We start from the raw sequence: 20,738 nt of genomic DNA, 5'->3' as shown, positions 1-20,738 counted from the left end.
CTGCACAGCAAAAGAAACTACCATCAGAGTGAACAGGCAGCCTACAGAATGGGAGAAAATTTTTGCAATCTACTCATCTGACAAAGGGCTAATATCCAGAATCTACAATGAACTCAAACAAATTTACAAGAAAAAAACAAACAACCCCATCAAAAAGTGGGTGAAGGATATGAAGAGACACTTCTCAAAAGAAGATATTTATGCAGCCAACAGACACATGAAAAAATACTCATCATCACTGGCCATCAGAGAAATGCAAATCAAAACCACAATGAGATACCATCTCACACCAGTTAGAATGGTGATCATTAAAAAGTCAGGACACAACAGGTGCTGGAGAGGATGTGGAGAAATAGGAACACTTTTACACTGTTGGTGGGACTGTAAACTAGTTCAACCATTGTGGAAGACAGTGTGGCGATTCCTCAGGGATCTGGAACTAGAAATACCATTTGACCTAGCCCTCCCATTAGTGGGTATATACCCAAAGGATTGTAAACCATGCTGTTATAAAGACACATGCACACGTATGTTTATTGCGGCACTATTCACAATAGCAAAGATATGGAACCAACCCAAATGTCCAACAATGATAGACTGGATTAAGAAAATGTGGCACATATACACCATGGAATACTATGCAACCATAAAAAACGATGAATTCATGTCCTTTGTAGGGACATGGATGAAGCTGGAAACCATCATTCTCAGCAAACGATCGCAAGGACGAAAAACCAAACACCGCATGTTCTCACTCATAGGTGGGAATTGAACAATGAGAACACGTGGACACAGGAAGGGGAACATCACACACCGGGGCCTGTTGTGGGGTGGGGGAGGGGGGAGGGATAGCATTAGGAGATATATCTAATGTTAAATGACGAGTTACTGGGTGCAGCACACCAACATGGCACATGTATACGTATGTAACTAACCTGCACGCTGTGCACTTGTACCATAAAACTTAAAGTATAATAAACAAAAAAAAGAAATACCATTAAAGAACTCTTGTGATTATATTGTGGACCCCCTGACAATCCAAATTATCTCCCCATCTTAAGGTCATTAACTTAATCACACTTGCAAAGTCCCTTTTGCCTGTAAGGTAACATGTTTACTGATTCTAGGCATTAGGACATGGACATTTTGGGGGCGGGCATTATTCTGCCTATCACACCAAATCAATATCACTGCCTTTCCTGATTGTCCCAAAGCTCCATAATCTCTTTATTTGAAAAAAAAATTATTGCATAAGAGTGGGTACCACTCCCTTTAACACCTGTTATTCTTTAATTAGCTCCTATCTGTATACTTACTCATCCATTCCTTCATTTTACTAGTATTTATTGCCTTGGATATCTTCTCTGTGCTAGTGATTGTGCTGGATACTGGGAAAAAAGTCATGACATTTGTCTTACAGAAGCTCACTGTTTAGTGAGGAAGAGTAATATATAAACAGAGAAACACAAGAAGATGTTTAGTGAGCACTGACAGAAATATGTGCAGGATATTGTTATGTTCAAAGGAGAGCATAGTTAGTTCCATCCAAATTATGGCCTCATACACAAAGTAGTCTGAGCTAGATGAGCAATTTTTGGCTAAGCAGAAAGGCAAACTGGAGAGAATATTCCAATTAAAGGGAACAGTGAGTTAGTACCTATTTATCTTTTCCCATTAGCTGTTTGTATGCCCCTTAGGGTCAGAGATTCTGTGTTATTTCTCTTCCGTATATCGTCTGAGATTGAGTACACACTGGGAATATAGAAGACATTGAATAAAAATTTATGAGTCAATGAATTCTGAAGGTGACAGCAGTCCTTCTGACCATGATAGAGTAAATGGCAGCCAATTTGACCTTCTGCATAAATAACTATAAAAGTACACAAAATATAGAAAACAACTCTTGTCAAACATTGGGCAACAAAAAGTGGAGAAATTTGATCCCTTAGAGATGGAAAATAAATAAGGTAGGTCTTGTGATTACCTCAGCCTTCTGACTGAATGTACTTCCCACACCATTTGCACAGGGAGGGTAAACACAAGCAGAACATGGTACTCTTGATGAGTTAAGAAGGCAAAAATTAGGGTTCATTGAGGATGACAAAGCTGGAATTTGTGAGACAGAGTACCAGAGGAAAGGGTGCTATGCAGAGACAAAGCCCAAGAAAACTTCTTGGAGTCCCCTTGAGTCTTTTGCTGAATATTAAGCTGCATATGCATATGGTGAAACTCCACAAGGCCAGGCAAGGAACAACTACTAGGGAACTGTAATTGGAATAATTTCCAAACTGACATTTACCAGGAGGCATTTGAATTCTGACGTGCCAAAGTGAAGAAGCCACAGTGAACACTGGAACATTCAGTAAATAATGAAAGGGTCATGCATTCATAGTGGGTTAAATCAGCGCTTATCTAGAGGTTATACTAGACCCACCTGAATGAAACTTAAAAATAAGACTTGAAAGAATCAAAGTGATCCACAAGTAACTTAGCTTCCTGTCAGAACAAACTTCAACCTTCTTTGCAGAAACATAGCAAAATCTAGACTCTGAACAATGTAATATTCATGATGTCTAGCACTCAATTACTAACATGAAGAAGGCAGGAAAATGTGATCCAGAGCCAGGAGAAAATTCAATCCATATAAACACACTCATAAATGACAGGAATGATAGAATTAGCAGACAAGTACTTTTAGAAAGCTATTATAACTATTGAAATATTGGAAGGAAAACATGAGCATAAAGAGAAGAGAAATGGAAGATATGAGGAAAAACATATAAAACAAAGAGTGATAACAGCAAAATGTCAGAATAGGAATCCCTGGACCCTTCTTCCCCTTACAGACACATTGATTCAGCAATAATTCACAGAAAATTGCCTTTAGGAAAAATCCAGAAATTAAATGACAGTATCTTGCAACCTGGGCAAATGTGAAACCAGACTCACGGAAGCCAGTAGAGAGATTCAGGACACCCTCTCATTGAAATCCCTACCTCTGGCACAGCAACACATGAGAGGGAAGAGACCTTCAAACTCCCAGCTTCTCCAAAGGGAGGTTAAAGAGTTGGTTTGCATGTCAAGCACCACAACTTTTCTGAGGGGGCTCACTAGAGGACTGTTTTGCTACTTGCCAGTCTTAGAGCTCTGACAGGCCCAGCATAATCTGTCACCTGTGGGAGAACAGAGATGGTGGCTTGGGCTGGTAGATGCCATAGCTCCTTTCCCCCTATCAGCACAGAGCAAGGGAATTTTAATAAAACAGGTCTCAGCTTTCCCCTGAGAAGAAAAAGAGTTGAATGGACTGGAAAACAGAATTGAATGGAGCATCCAACAATCCAGCTTTCTGGGAGTTTCTAAGGAACCAATTGCATTTACACTTGTTGCACTACACTGATAGGATTCAACATACCCTATATGCTTGGGGACTACAAAGCACAAAAAGCAGGTTGGACTAGCACGAAGGTTTGAGAGACCCCCAGAATCTCTGGCAATACTGATTGGTGGAGGTCTTCTTTTGTATAAGGCTAGTCTGTGAAGACTAAGAGAGGTGGCTGCTTTGCATAATGTGCAGACACAACACAGAGAGTCAAGGAAAATAAAGAATTAGGCAAAGAAGTTCCAAACAAAGGAACAAGATAACTTTTCAGAAACTGTAGAGTTATATAATTTACCTGACCAAGAATTCAAAACATTGTCATAAAGATGCTCTTGAGGCCAAAAGAACAATATATGAACAAAGTGAGAATTTCAACAAACAGATAGAAAATATTAGAACTACCAAACCAAAATCATAGAGCTAAAGAACACAATAACTGAACTGAAAAATTCACTCATGAAGTTCAACAGCAGACTAGATCAAAGGAAAAGATCAGGGCCAGGCTGGGTGGCTCACGCCTGTATTCCCAGCAGTATGGGAGGCCGAGACAGGCAGATCACTTGAGGTCAGGAGTTCGAGACCAGCCTGGTCAACATGGTGAAACCTTGTCTCTACTACAAATACAAAAATTAGCTGGGTGTGGTGGCAAGTGCCTGTAATCCCAGCTACTCAGGAGGCTGAAGCAGGAGAATTTGGGGGAAACTGGATATCCACATGCAAAATGATGAAATTAGACCCTTAACTTATACCATGCAAAATAATAAATTCAAAATGGTTAAATACTTAAATGTAAGACCAAAAACTGTAAAACTCTTAGAAAAAAAAACAGGAGAAGATCTTCATGACATAGATCTTTGCAGTGATTTCATGGATATGACACTAAAAGCACAGGTAACCAAAGCAAAAATAGACAAATAGTACTATAGCTAACCAAAAAGTTTCCAAACAGCAAGGGAAACAATCATCAGAGTAAAAAGCAACCTATGGAATGGGAGAAAATACTTGCAAACCATCCATCTGATAAGGGGTTAATCTCCAAAATATCCAAGAAACTCCTACAACTCAATAGCAAAAAAGAGAAAACAAACAAACAAAAAACTAATAACTTGATTTAAAAATGGGCAAAGCACCTGAATAGACATTTATCCAAAGGAGGCATACAAATGACCAACAGGTATGTGAAAAAAAATGGTCATCATCACTAATCATCAGGGAAATGTAAATCAAAACCATATTACCTCACACCTGTTAGGATGGCTATTACCCAAAAAATACACCACTGATGGGAATGAAAATGGTGCATCCACTATAGAAAGTGGTATGGAAGTTCCTTAAAAAATTAAAAATAAAACTACCATATGACCCAGCAGTCCCACTTCTGGGTATTTATCTATTGAAATCGGGATCTCAGCACTCCTATGTTCATTGCAGCATTATTCACAATAACCAAGATGTGGAAACAATCTAAATGTCCATTAATAAATGAATGAATAGAGAAAATGTGGTAAATATATGCATGCATACACACACACACACACACACACACACACACACACACACATGAATATTATTTGGCCTTTAAAAAGAAGGAAATTATGATATGGGACAGAGTTGATGAAACTTGATGGCATTATGGTAAGTGAAATAAGTCAGTCACAGAAAGACAAATATTGCATGATTCCACATATATGTGCTATCTAAAATAGTTTAATAGAATCAAAGAACAGAATAATGGTTGTGAGGGGATGGGGGAGTGAAAAACTGGGAGTTACTAATCAATTGGCATAAAGCTTCAGTTAAGCAAGATGAATACGCTCTAGAGATCTGCTGTACCTTTAATGTTGTGCCTATAAGTCAACGAAAATGTTTCTACACTTCAAAATTTAAGAAAGTAGATCTCATGTTAAGTGTTATTGCCACAATAAAATAAAAATAAATTAAAAAAATAAATCTAAAGGAGAAAAGAAACTCTAAACAAATATCTTTGGATTATGTACATTTTACTTAATCTCAAGTAGAATGACATATCCAACTTCTGATCAGTTTGGAAGTCTAATACTGACTACATAAACTATTACAGGAGTATTTTGCTTGCTTTGCTGATTTTAAAGTAAATGGTAAAATACTGCAGATCTACGGTATAAAATATTGATTAAAAAAAGCATGTTGTATCTACTATGCTCAATAAGTAACTGATTTAAGGTTTGAAAACCAATAAGTTAACAACTCCTATCACATAATAAATAATCAACACCTTCTGAAAGATAAAAAAAGTCATTTTAAACTAAAAATAATTGAGTGTTTAGAGTTGCAAAGTACAATGTCTAAAGTGAAAATGTACTGAATAGGCTTAACATCAGACTAGATGCTATAAAAGAAAAGACCCGTGTACTTCAAGGTGACAGCAGCTAAGAATGGTATGGTCTCCATTACCTTTTGGCCACCTGAGCTATGGTGGGAAGGCACACCTGGAATTCTGATTCTGGTCATTCCATTCTCCCTCCTATAATTTAAATCAGTTCTAGCTCTGTCCTTTTCAAGATGTGGAAGGAATCTTCTTAGATTCTTGGGTAAGTGTTAAACATTGCCACCAGTGTCACATTGACGTGATTCACAAAGCAATGCGTCACACTTCCAAGGTTTTCCATTCATCTGGAAACCACTTATCAATAATGCACAAAGTCCCAGACATAGTGCTAGACACTGAGGGTAGGAAAATAAATAAGAATTGTCACTTTTTCATGGCAGAGATAGGGGTACACAGATTGGTAAAATACAGAGTAGCAAATTTGTTCAACATATGTTCACTGAACTCTTACTCTGTGCCAGTCATTGCTAGTTGGAGATGAAACAACAGTTTCTGTCTTCAATTTGCTTTGAGTTCAGGTTTTCTATAGATGTGGTTAAAAGCTTGAGTCAAATAATAATAATGTTTACCTTTTATAGAGAGAGGCAGATTTGGCATATGTGGGGGTCTGTTTACATGAATGGACTAATTCTTGAATTAACGTACTTATTAACTTGATGAGGGCGCCACACATCTATTGGTCCACGAAAATGAACTGTGGACATCCACCGATGTCCAAGAAAATTTGCTTGTTCCTGGTATGCTTCTACTGAGACCCAGTTTCATCCTATTCTATGAATCTTGATTGTATCCTTCGTTTATCACCCTTCTCCTACTATTCCAACTAGTCTATCCTGTTCTTTAATTTTGTATTCACTCCAAGACTTTTAGTTAGAATTTATCCTACCAGTCCCTAAAGATCCAAGCTCTATAGTTGTCCATCACATCCACTGTGAGGACTGGTGGGTAGAAACAAAAATTTTCATAGACATATATCATTGTCTGTCTGGAAATTGTCTAGGTCATCTCACATTTGTACATATTGTTTCTCAAAACTTTATAAAAGGCAGGTGACTTTATATCTCCTAGTAAGTTTGATGACATGTGTCACTATAATCTATACCCATTCAATTTTGTCTCTTACTAAATGGCTTGTCTAGATACATTTGAGAAGTTGGTCAGAGTTTAGCCCGTGTGGAAGCATGAAGGTTGAGCATGAACTGGTGCTAGTGTTTACACTAGCATACTATGTGAAGAATGAGCCAGGATGAGATAATTGAGATAATGGGAAAGTTATGTATTTTGGAAAGCAGGTCGTTGAGTGACCAAAACCAATTATTAAGACAAAGTTCAAAAGTAGAGATTGGTTGCTCAGCTGGGAGTTATGAAAGAGACAGAGATGGACTCAAAAAGGAAGATTCTAGCATATGGAGTAAGGTAGAACATCAAAATGGTACATGCACCAGGGTAGATTTACCACATAGCTAATTAACCTTAAAGCTTCTGGGCCCTTTTCAAGCAACCTTTCCAAGGCCCTGGGAATTATTATAGCACTAGTCATGTTTTTGTAAAATTTGCAGAAATAAAATAGTTTAACTTGAATTAGTTAAGACTACAGTTTTCCATTTCAACTTCCCCTTCCATCATACTTCCACTAGTGTTGGGTGGTGATGGAATAGCCATGGGAAATCTTAGGATCCTTATGACCTACTTAGATCCAGTGAAACCCCCTGGTAATTTTCTAAGTATGTCCTGTTAAAAGGAAGGAAATTAGGGAAATCTAGGGGAAAATGTCAAACTCTGAACTACCATGATGAAGTTCTTTGGGGAGGAGACACCAAACTATACTCTGGGGAAGGTGTCAAGGGCCTCCAGTCAAGTGAGACATGAGTTTGCCAATATGAAGGGACAAAGACAGTGGCCATTAGGGAGAAGACTAAGAGGGAAAACAGATCCTGGATAGAGACAGAGAATATCCCTGTTCTGTATGTGTCCTTGGTGGAGCCCATGGATGCAGAGGGTTTGCAGCTAAATGAACTATATGGGACAAGCTCCAGAGGAAGCATAATGAAGAAGCTGAGATGTTGTTAGAAGAGCTTTCCTGAAGATGGACCTCTGCTTCTGATTAAGATGAGTATCAGGGACCAGATTTCATCTCCCACTTGAAATAACCAAAAAGTTAGAAAAAATATATGATACAACACTTTTCATGAGTGTATATCAGGCAATGAAGAGAACTAATCCCCGGGGTATGAAAAACGAATGCAGTAAACCTAGGAAGGGGAAACCCAGGTAGAGTCTGACAGACTTCTTGAGCTGAAGAGATGGAGCTGATAATCTGGGGTGACTAAGAAGGCTGGAGTTCAGAACAGAATACCAGGAGAGGGCTGCATAGAGAGGGAACTTGAGAAATCTATAGAGGGTTCCTCACAAGCATTCAGCTGAGTACTAAACTGCACATGTGAGAAAACTACCTGATATTGAGGGAAGAACCACCCAAAAGGATCAGAAGTAACTGCACTTAGCATTCATACAAGGCTAGGAGTAGTGCCTGTTCCCAACCAGCCAGATTGGAAAACCTCATAATTCTAGGGCATTGGATAGAGTACTCAGGAAGGCCTTGCCTCAGTTATAAAGACTATTTAGCCATAGACTGAACATTCTTTCAGACCTGCCTAATAGATTATAAAAGCTAGCCTTGAAAGGATCAAAATATTTTTGAGTAACTTAACTGCATCCCAGAACGAAGGTCTATAATATTTATTAGAAATACAAAAACATCTAGCATACAATGAGGTAAAAGTCACAATGTCTGGCATCCGATAAAAGATTATCAGTATGCAAAGAAGAAGGAAAGAATGATCCATAATGAGGAGAATAACTATATTAGAATTAGCAGAGAAAAGGACATTGCAATAGTTTCTGTAATTGTATTTCATATATTCAAAAAGTTCAGTGAAGATATGAGTGGTATAAAAAAGACCAAATTGATTATAAACCAGGGGTTCTGTGTTTTTACAATTTTAAAAAATAAAATGGGCCAGGTGCAGTGGTTCACACCTGTAATCCCAGCACTTTAGGAGGCCGAGGCAGGCAGATCACTTGAGATCAGGAGTTTGAGACCAGCCTGGCCAACACGGTGAAACGCTGTCTCTACTAAAAATACAAAAATAAGCCAGGTGTGGTGGTGCACGCCTGTAATCCCAGCTACTCAGGAGGCTGAGGCAAGGGAATAGCTTGAACCCCGGAGGCAGAAGTTGCAGTGAGCCAAGATCGTGCCACTGCACTCTAGCCTGGGTGACAGAGTAAGACTCTGTCTCTAAACAAATAAATAAATAAATTTTTAAAAGACCAAATTGAACTTCTAGAGATGAAAAATACAATGTCTAATATGAAAAATACACTGGATAGAATGGCAGAGTACACATTGCAGAAGAGATTCGTGAACATGAAGATATATTAATAGAAACTATCTCAAGTGAAACAGAAAAAAACTAAATAAATAGAACATCAATGAGCTTAGGAAAACAACAAGTGGCTTAATACACATGTAATCAGATCCCCTGAGGTGGGGGGAGCAGGGGCAGAAAAAATATATTAAGGAATAATAGCTGAGAATTTTCCAAATTTGATGAAAACTATAAACCCACAGATCCAAGCAGCTCAATTAACCCCAAGCCCAGGAAATATGAAGAATAGTAGAATCGGGCACATCATAGTCAAGTTGTCCAAAACCAGTGACAAAGAAAAACTCTTTAAAGTAGCCAGATAAAAGAGATATGTTATGTTCAGAAGAACATATATATAGGTGACAGCAGATTGGAAATTATGCAAATGGCAAGACAGTGGAGCAACACCTTGCAGAGGTTTGGAAATAAATCTATCAAAAATTCAGGGGGCTTCTACCTCAGTGAAATGTTTAGGGGCTAAGTGGAGTAGGGCATGTGGAGGAATCCCTGCGAAGGTAAAAAACAGATTGTTGCATCTTTCTCCTCCAAAAAGGAGGCACATCGCCTGGTGGGCCTCTTTGGATTTCAACGTATTCCTTATTTGAGTGTATTACTCCAGCCCATTTACTGAGTGACCCAAAAAGCTGCTAGTTTTGAGTAGGGCCCAGAACAAGGTCCAGGCTGGTATGCAAGTTGCTCTGCCAATTGGGCTACATGATCCAGCAGATCCAATGGTGCCTGAAGGATCAGTGGCAGATAGGAATGTAGTTTGGAAACCGTGTCAGGCCCCATAGGTGAATTGCTACACAAGGCTCTTAGGATTTTGGAGTAAAATCTTACCACCCTCAGCAAATAACTACTCTTTGGAGAAAGAGCTGTTTGTCTGCTACTGGGCCTTAGTAGAGACTGAATGCTTAACCACAGGCCACCACATTACCATGTGACCTGAACTGACCATTATCTGACCCACCAAGCCATAAAATTGGGCATGCACCAAAATACTTCATCATTAAATGAAAGTGATATTATTCTTGATTGGTCTGAACAGGACCTGAGAGCACAAATAAGTTACACGAAGAAGTGGCCTAAATGCCCATGAGCCTCATTCCTGCTACACTATCTTCTGTCTGTAAGCTTGCAGCTATGGCCTCATGGGGGAGTTTCCTATGATCAGGTCATGGAGGAAGAGAGGACCCAGACCTGCTTTATAGATGATTCTGCATGATATACAGGCACTATCCAAAAGTGGACAGCTGCAGGACTACAGCCCCTCTCTGAAACATCCCTAAAGGACATTGATGAAGGGAAATATTCCCAGTAGGCAGAACTTGAAAAAGTGCACTTGTCATTCACTTTGTTTGGAAGAAAAAATGGCTAGACATTATTATACACTAATTCATGGTCTGTGGCCAATAGTTTAGCTGGATGGTCAGAGACTTGAAGGGAACGTAATTGGAACATTGATGAGAAAGAAATTTGGGGAAGAGGTATGGGATAGATCTCTATGAATGGGTAAAAAAATGAAGATATTTGTGAATGCTCATCAAAAGGTGACTTCAGCAGAGGATTTTAATAATCAAGTGGATAGAATCACCCATTTATGGATACTAGTCTCTTTCCCAGCCACCTCTGTCATTGCTCAATGGGCTCATAAACAAAGTGACCATGGTGGCAGGAATGGAGGTTATGCATGGAATCAGCAACATGAACTTCTATTCAACAAGGCCAACTTGGCTATGGCCATGGCGGGGTGTCCAATCTGCCAGCAGCAGAGACCAACACTGAATCCCTGATACAGTGGCAGGCTGATTACATTGGGCCACTTCCATCGTGGAAGTTTTGTCCATACTGGAATAGACACTTACTATGGATAAGGATTTGCCTTCCCTGAACACAATTATTCTTTCAAAACTACCCTCTGTAGACTTACAGAATGCCCTATTTACCATCATAGTATTCCACCCAGCATTGCTTCTGATAAAGGAACTCACTTCACTGCAAACTGGCTTTTTAAAAACTCTGTTACAGCACCAGCCAGCTGGCAATACCTTGTAGGGCAAGGGGAAAGTTCTCCAGAAGGCTGTATATGCTCTGAATCAGCATCTTCAGATGGGGCTGTTTCTCCCATAGCCAGGATTCATGGGTCCAGCAATTAAGGGGTGGCAAAGGGAGTGGTACCACTCACCATCACCCCTAGTGATCTACTAGCAAAATTTCTACTGCCTCTTTTCATGAATTTATGGTCTGCTGGCCAAGAAGTCTTAGTTCCAAAGGGAGGAATGCTTCCGCCAGAAGACACAACAATGATTCCATTGAATTGAAAGTTAAGGCTGCTGCCTGGCCACTTTGGGCTCCTCATGCCTCTGAATCAACAGGAGGCAAGGAAGGGAGTTATTGTGCTGGCTGAGTTGATTGATTCTGAATACCAAGGAGAAATTGAACTATAACTCCACAATGTAGGTAAGGAAGAATATGTCTGGAATACAGAGGATCCCTTAAGATGCATCTTAGTATTTCCACGCCCTGTGATTAAGGTAAATGGAAAAGACAACAAACCAATCCAGGCAAGACTACTAATGGCCCAGACCCTTCAGGAATGAGGGTTTGGGTCATGCCTCCAGGTAAAGAACCACAACCAGCTGAGGTGTTTGCTGAAGACAAAGAAGATGCAGAATGGGTAGTAGAAGAAGGTAGTTATAAATTCCAACTACAACCATGTGACCAGTTACAGAAATGAAGACTGTAATTGTCAGAGTATTTCCTTATTTCCCAATGATCCCTACCCCCAGTGGTCCATTAGGTGGCTCCATAATATTCAGGCCTAGATAATCTCTAAGGTCCTTGTGAAGGAAAAGAACACCGTGTATTGAGTACCTACTGTGTCAGGTTGTATACTAAGCAGAGGCTAAGAGGAAAGATATAGCATTCTGTGGGGACGAGAAGACAGCAAATGGCGGGAAGAAAGCCAGATGGAAGGTGCTGAGGCAGAGGTATCCACTGTATCCTGGTAGAAAGACCTCAAGCCATTTGGGAGTATAAAGGGAGAGTTGAGAAGGGGAGAGGGTGGCATTGCTTGGCTTTGAAATGTGGCTGGCCAAGATGCTTGGGCACTGATGTGCTCTTGACAATTTGAAAGGGCTCTTGGATTGTTCCTACGTTCAGACTGCTTTTAAAGAGCTGTTTTGTATGGAGGCCTCTTTCATTTGCATGAAGTCATGCTCACCTTCTATAGGTGTTTCTCAGCTGTCAAGAGCTCTCCAAACCTTCTGGAAAGCCCTTGTGACAAAGGAAGTTGTGGGATGCAGAGGCCAGGTGCTCAGACTCCCATGAGTGGGTGGAGAATGGAAATAAAATGAATGAAATGGGTTTAGGATTGGAGAATGTCCAGGTCACTCTTGATTGAATCACTAGGGAAAAGCTGTAGTGGAAATAAGCCCCAGACTGATTTTTCAGCTCTACTTCATCTCCCTTCTGCTGGGCCGGCAACATGAGACTAATGGGGAAAAGCACGGCAGAGCAAAGAGGCTACTTCTTGGGGAATCAAACATAGCAGAAAGTTACCACCGTAAATAGAAAATAGATTGAAAGCATTTGAAAGTTTCTGTTCAGCATTACCAGGAATTAGCCTGGCATTTAAGAGCCTGTACAGTACAGTCCCAGCCTATCACTGAGTCTTATCTTTTACTTCTTATTGACCCCTACCCTCTACTTGTCAGGCCTACTTATTAGGCCTTGATCCCTGAATAATAATAATCTTTGAATTTCTCATCTCCCAGCTTCACCTTCACCCCCACCCATTGCCTTGTTTTCTCTTAGAGCTGTTGTTCCTCTGAATCCCTGTACCACTTGCCTACATTAGCATTTTTTCTTAGATTACCTTATCACACAATGCATTTATTCTTTTTCATTGTGTAAAAGTCTATATTCCCACCTAGATTCTAAGTGCCTTGAGAACAGGCACCATGTCCTATACCTCCTGTCTCCCTCCCCTTCCTCTATTGTGCTAGATCCACAATTAATGGATCAAAAATAATCTTCTGGTTGTTTTGTTGATTATTACAAGTATGTCATGAGATTGTCCCATAGGATTCTGCCTTGAATTTTTATATGGCCTTGAACAAGTTTCTGCTCCTGTCTTTGCCTCAGTTTCTCTATCTGTAAATGATTGGATTGGACTCGACGACATCTAAGAGTTCTTCAAGCTTTGATAGCAGATGATTCTACAAGTCCATCCTCAAAAAGAGGAAAGAGAATTGATCCAACTTACTAACAAAGCTGGGGAAGGAGGAAATATATTTGCATAAAAAATGAAACCAAACAACAAACAACAGCTGAAGGGGGAACAAAAGGGAATCTAAGGAATCTAAGGGCTAGGAACTTGTGTGAGAATTGAGGTAGAGGAAAACGCTAACCCTCTTAAAGAACAGGCTTTTCCAGCCCTGGGTGCTTTACAAACATGAATTTTCTTCTATCATGGAGAAAGAGATCCAGCTAAGTCTAGCACTTGTGTTAGCAACTGGTTGCAACGGCCTAAAAGCAGAATAATCAAATGAAACTCCCTACCACTCAGCAGTCAGGCACTCATGAATGCCTAGACCGAGTTAACAAAGTTCCCAGACACTGCCATCTAGTGGCAGTTCAGAAATATATTTGTGGCAATTCATCCTTGCATTCTCTGATGGAGCTGTCAGCATTTTGGAGAAACATGAACCAACCCAAGGATGAAATATTGGGCTAGTGAAGAATGAAAAAGTCCCCCGAGGGAAAGCTCGATAAGGAAACTAGGAGAGACAAAGACAGAGAAGGACAAAGACAAGGCCAAAGCAAGTGAGACAGAGCAAGACACAGTTATTCATGAAGCTAGGTGAAACTTTCACTGAAAATGGGGTAGGGAGGGGGAATTAACACAATCACTCAACCTGGCCCAGCATCTCAATCATAGCTTTAGAGAGATGGTGGTGGGAGCAGCTTCTGATATGCTTTATGTGCTTTTCTCCTCTCTTGTTCTCAATTTCTCCCCAATCCCACACTCTTTTACCTTGTCCGTATGTTCCTTCCCACATGATCACTCCATACCCAACTCCCTAAAAACAAAAACAAAAATAAAACAACAATAACGAAAGACCTTCTTGGGGTTGTAGATAAGTATTAGAGACTATGGATGATCACATGTTTGTTTTTAAAAAAAGTAATACCAAAGACGTCTACAGGTCTCTGGATACATCTCTACCTAAATATAAATGTGAAAGATCTTTTGTCCCATTACGTTTGCAGTGTTTTCTTGCTCCTGAGCTCCAGACCTACATTTCCAATTGCTTATGGGGCATGTTCATTTGGATATCCTCTGACTTTTCATCATTAAAATTTTCCCAAAACTGTCCCCCTCCTCACTTCTCCCCACACCCTGTCTCCATCCTTTGCTCCTCATTTCTTTGTCTGGTCCTTCAATCTCCCTAATGATTGAGACCACAAATCAGTCTCCCGCACCCTCAATATGCTCTAATTCTCCCTGGCATTAAGTCTTTGAGACTTCCTTCAAAGTTATATCTCTAAGATATCTCTTATTTTCTGTTTCTACATACACTGTGCTGGATCTGACCTCATAACCTCTCAACTGGAAAACTGAAATGGTTGTGGTTTCAGCATTTGTTATAGATGCCCAATTCATCCACTTTTCTTCATCTGCATTAGCAACAACCCAGTCACAGCCTCCATCATCTCTCTCACCTGTGCTACGACAATCATCTTTTGATTGGTCTCTCCACCTTCAAACTTATCCAACAAAGGATGTCCTGCATAAATAAGCATACCTTGAAGATATTGTGGATTTGCTTTCAGACCACTGCCATAAAGCAAATATTGCAATAAAGTGAGCAACATAATGTTTTTGGTTGCTGAGTGCATATAAAAGTTACATTTCGAAGTTCTAGCCACAGCAATCAGGCAAGAGAAAGAAATAAAGGGCATCCCAATTGGAAAAGAGGAAATCGAACTATCTTTGTTTTCTGATTATATGATCTTATATCTAGAATACCCTAAAGACTCCTCCAAAACACTTTTAAATCTGATAAATGAACTTGGTAAAGTCCCAGGCTACAACATCAATATAGACAAGTGAGCAGTACTGCTATGCACCAACAATGACCAAACTGAATGACAAATCAAGACTCAATTCCTTTTACAGTAGCTGCAAAAAATAAAATACCCAGGAATATACCTAACCAAGGAGGTGAAACATCTCTGTAAGGAGTATTACAAAACACAGCTGCAAGAAATTGTAGATGACACAAACAAATGGAAATACATCCCATGCTCATGCACTGGAAGAATCAATACGATGAAAATGACCACACTGCTCAAAGCAACCTACAGATTCAATGCAATTCCTATCAAAATACCAACATCATTTTTTCACAGAATTAGAAAAATCCCCTAAATTCATATAGAACCAGAAAAAAGTCCAAATAGCCAAAGCAATCCTAAGCAGAAAAACAAATCTTGAGGCATCACATTACCTGACTTCAAATTATACTACAAGGCTATAGTAACCAAAAGAGCATGGTACTGGTAAAAACGTAGACATGTAACTGATGGAACAGAATAGAGGTCTCAGGAATAAAGCCACATCTTACAACCAACTGATCTTTGACAAAGCATACAAAAGCATAAATTAGGGAAAAGATATCCTGTTCAATAAATGGTGCTGGGAAAATTGGATAGCTACATGTAGAAGAACAAAACCAGATCCCTATATCTTACCATGTACAAAATTTAACTCAAGATGGATCTAAGAACTGATACCATTAAAAATCTAGAAGAAAACCTAGGAAAAACTCTTCTGAACATTGGCCTAGGCAAATAATTTATGACTAAGACCCCAAAAGCAAATGCAACAAAAACAAAACTGAATAAATGGGACCTAATTAAACTAAAAAGCTTCTGCACAGCAAAAGAAATAATTATCAGATAGAAGCGGTTCCAAGATGGCTGAATAGGAACAGATCCAGTTTATAGCTCCCAGCGTGAGCGACGCAGAAGATGGATGATTTCTGCATTTCCAACTGAGGTACCGGGTTCATCTCACTGGGGACTTTCAGACGGTGGGTGCAGGACAGTGGGTGCAGTGCACCAAGCATGAGCCAAAGCAGGGCGAGGCATCGCCTCACCCAGGAAGGGCAAGGGGTCAGGGAATTCCCTTTCCTAGCCAAGGAAAGGGGTGACAGACGGCACCTGGAAAATCGGGTCATTCCCACCCTAATACTGTGCTTTTCTGACGGTCTTAGTAAACGGCACACCAGGAGATTATATCCCACGCATGGCTCAGAGGGTCCTACACCCACAGAGCCTGACTCATTGCTAGCACAGCAGTTTGAGATCAAACTGCAAGGCGGCAGCAAGGCTGGGGGAGGGGTGACCGCCATTGCCGAGGCTTGAGTAGGTAAACAAAGCGGCCAGGAAGCTCAAACTGGGTGGAGCCCACCACAGCTCAAGGAGGTCTGCCTGCCTGCCTCTGTAGCCTCCACCTCTGGGGGCAGGGCATAGCCAAACAAAACGCAGCAGAAACCTCTGCAGACTTAAATGTCCCTGTCTGACAGATTGGAAGACAGCAGTGGTTCTCCCAGCACGCAGCTTGAGATCTGAGAATGGACAGACTGCCTCCTCAAGTGGGTCCCTGATCCCCGAGTAGCCTAACTGGGAGGCACCCCCTAGTAGGGGCGGACTGACACCTCACATAGCCGGGTACTCCTCTGAGACAAAACTTGCAGAGGAACGATCAGGCAGCAACATTTGCTGTTCACCAATATTCTCTGTTCTGCAGCCTCTGCTGCTGATACCCAGGCAAACAGGGTCTGGAGTGGACCTCCAGCAAACTCCAACAAACCTGCACCTGAGGCTCCTGACTGCTAGAAGGAAAACTAACAAACAGGAAGGACATACACACCAAAACCCCATCTGCACATCACCATCATCAAAGACCAAAGGTAGATAAAACCAAAAAGATGGGGAAAAAACAGAGCAGAAAAACTGAAAATTCTAAAAATCAGAGCACCTCTACTCCTCCAAAGAAATGCAGCTCCTCACCAGCAACGGAACAAAGCTGGATGGAGAATGACTTTGACGAGTTGAGAGAAGAAGGCTTCAGACGATGAAACTTCACCGAGCTAAAGGAGGAAGTTCGAACCCATGGCAAAGAAGTTAAAAACCTTGAAAAAAGACTAGACGAATGGCTAACTAGAATAACCAATGCAGAGAAGTCCCTAAAGGAACTGACGGAGCTGAAAACCATGGCACAAGAACTACGTGAAGAATGCACAAACCTCAGTAGCCAATTCGATCAACTGGAAGAAAGGGTATCAGTGATGGAAGATCAAATGAATGAAATGAAGTGAGAAGAGAAGTTTAGAGAAAAAAGAATAAAAAGAAATGAACAAAGCCTCCAAGAAATATGGGACTATGTGAAAAGACCAAATCTACGTCCGAATGGTGTACCTGAAAGTGACGGGGAGAATGCAACCAAGTTGGAAAACACTCTGCAGGATATTATCCAGGAGAACTTCCCCAATCTAGCAAGGCAAGCCAACATTCAAATTCAGGAAATACAGAGAATGCCACAAAGATGCTCCTCGAGAAGAGCAACTCCAAGGCACATAAAGATCAGATTCACCAAAGTAGAAGTGAAGGAAAAAATGTCAAGGGCAGCCAGAGAGAAAGGTCAGGTTACCCACAAAGGGAAGCCCATCAGACTAACAGCTGATCTCTCGGCAGAAACTCTACAAGCCAGAAGAGAGCGGGGGCCGATATTCAACATTCTTAAAGAAAAGAATTTTCAACCAGAATTTCATATCCAGCCAAACTAAGCTTCATAAGTGAAGGAGAAATAAAATACTTTACAGACAAGCAAATGCTGAGAGATTTTGTCACCACCAGGCCTGCCCTAAAAGAGCTCCTGAAGGAAGCACTAAACATGGAAAGGAACAACCGGTACCAGCCCCTGCAAAAACATGCCAAATTGTAAAGACCATCAAGGCTAGGAAGAAACTGCATCAACTAACGAGCAAAATAACCAGATAACATCATAATGACAGGATCAAATTCACACATAATAATATTAACCTTAAATGTAAATGGGCTAAAGGCTCCAATTAAAAGACACACAGTGGCAAATTGGATAAAGAGTCAAAACCCATCAGTGTGCTGTATTCAGGAAACCCATCTCACATGCAGAGACATACATAGGCTCAAAATAAAGGGATGGAAGAAGATCTACCAAGCAAATGGAAAACAAAAAAAGGCAGGGGTTGCAATCCTAGTCTCTGATAAAACAGACTTTCAACCAACAAAGAACAAAAGAGACAAAGAAGGCCATTACATAATGGTAAAGGGGTCAATTCAACAAGAAGAGCTAACTATCCTAAATATATATGCACCCAATACAGGAGCACCCAGATTCATAAAGCAAGTCCTTAGAGACCTACAAAGAGACATAGACTCCCACACAATAATAATGGGAGACTTTAACACCCCACTATCAACATTAGACAGATCAACGAGACAGAAAGTTAATGAGGATATCCAGGAATTGAACTCAGCTCTGCACCAAGTAGACCTAATAGACATCTACAGAGCTCTCCACCCTAAACCAACAGAATAGACATTCTTCTCAGCACCACACCACACTTATTCCAAAACTGACCACATAGTTGGAAGTAAAGCACTCCTCAGCAAATGTAAAAGAAGAGAAATTATAACAAACTGTCTCTCAGACCAAAGTGCCATCAAACTAGAACTCAGGATTAAGAAACTCACTCAAAACCGCTCAACTACATGGAAACTGAACAACCTGCTCCTCAATGACTACTGGGTACATAACGAAATGAAGGCAGAAATAAAGATGTTCTTTGAAACCAACCAGAACAAAGACATAACATACCAGGATCTCTGGGACACATTCAAAGCAGTGTGTAGAGGGAAATTAATAGCACTGAATGCCCACAAGAGAAAGCAGGAAAGATCTAAAATTGACACCCTAACATCACAATTAAAAGAACTAGAGAAGCAAGAGCAAATACATTCAAAAGCTAGCAGAAGGCAGGAAATAACTAAGATCAGAGCAGAACTGAGGGAGATAAGAGACACAAAAAAACCTTCAAAAAATCAATGAATCCAGGAGCTGGTTTTTTGAAAAGATCAACAAAATTGATAGACCACTAGCAAGACTAATAAAGAAGAAAAGAAAGAAGAATCAAATAGACACAATAAAAAATGATAAAGGGGATATCACCAACGATCCCACAGAAATACAAACTACCATCAGAGAATACTATAAACACCTCTACACAAATAAACTAGAAAATCTAGAAGAAATGGATAAATTCCTCAACACATACACCCTCCCAAGACTAAACTAGGAAGAAGTTGAATCTCTGAATAGACCAATAACAAGTTCTGAAATTGAGGCAATAATTAATAGCTTACCAACCAAAAAAAGTCCAGGACCAGATGGATTCACAGCTGAATTCTGCCAGAGGTACAAGGAGGAGCTGGTACCATTCCTTCTGAAACTATTCCAATCAATAGAAAAAGAGGGAATCCTCCCTAACTAATTTTATGAGACCAGCATCATCCTGATAACAAAGACTGGCAGAGACATAACAAAAAAAGAGAATTTTAGCCCAATAGCCCTGATGAACATCGATGCAAAAATCCTCAATAAAATACTGGCAAACCGAATCCAGCAACACATCAAAAAGCTTATCTACCATGATCAAGTGGGCTTCATCCTTGGGATGCAAGGCTGGGTCAACATATGAAAATCAATAAATGTAATCCAGCATATAAACAGAACCAATGACAAAAACCACATGATTATCTCAATAGATGCAGAAAAGGCCTTTGACAATATTCAACAACCCTTCATGCTAAAAACTCTCAATAAATTAGGTATTGATGGGACGTATCTCAAAATAATAAGAGCTATCTATGACAAACCCACAGCCAATATCATACTGAGTGGGCAAAAACTGGAAGCATTCCCTTTGAAAACTGGCACAACACAGGGATGCCCTCTCTCACCTTTCCTATTCAACATAGTGTTGGAAGTTCTGGCCAGGGCAATCAGGCAGGAGAAGGAAACAAAGGGTATTCAATTAGGAAAAGAGGAAGTCAAATTGTCCCTGTTTGCAGATGACATGATTGTATATCTAGAAAACCCCATTGTCTCAGCCCAAAATTTCCTTAAGCTGATAGGCAACTTCAGCAAAGTCTCAGGATAAAAAATCAATGTGCAAAAATCACAAGCATTCTTATACACCAATAACAGACAAACAGAGAGCCAAATCATGAGTGAACTCCCATTCACAATTGCTCCAAAGAGAATAAAATACCTAGGAACCCAACTTACAAGGGATGTGAAGGACCTCTTCAAGGAGAACTACAAACCACTGCTCAATGAAATAAAAGAGGATACAAACAAATGGAAGAACATTCCATGCTCATGGGTAGGAAGAATCATTATCATGAAAATGGCCATACTGCCCAAGGTAATTTATAGATTCAATGCCAT

At 40.2% G+C, this 20,738-nt stretch overlaps 1 long non-coding RNA gene across 1 annotated transcript in view, besides 1 other annotated feature; it reads right to left on the bottom strand.

Annotated features, from left to right (window-relative positions):
- The window catches only part of RAP2C-AS1 (RAP2C antisense RNA 1), a 214,305-nt gene that overhangs the window by 126,041 nt on the left and 67,526 nt on the right, over positions 1 to 20,738 (bottom strand). The window lies entirely within an intron of this gene.
- Positions 15,859 to 17,058: an enhancer, noted in NCBI's record as "BRD4-independent group 4 enhancer chrX:131423741-131424940 (GRCh37/hg19 assembly coordinates)". NCBI's record gives its function as "activates an origin of replication core promoter dependent on BRD2, P300/CBP, MED14 and CDK7 cofactors, and independent of BRD4, by STARR-seq in HCT116 cells {active_cell/tissue: HCT116}" and the evidence as "EXISTENCE:reporter gene assay evidence [ECO:0000049][PMID:35650434]".

This window comes from Homo sapiens, chromosome X (genome assembly GCF_000001405.40).
Source record: "Homo sapiens chromosome X, GRCh38.p14 Primary Assembly".
Classification (NCBI taxonomy): domain Eukaryota; kingdom Metazoa; phylum Chordata; class Mammalia; order Primates; family Hominidae; genus Homo; species Homo sapiens.
This window is presented reverse-complemented; position numbering and strand designations above follow the sequence as displayed.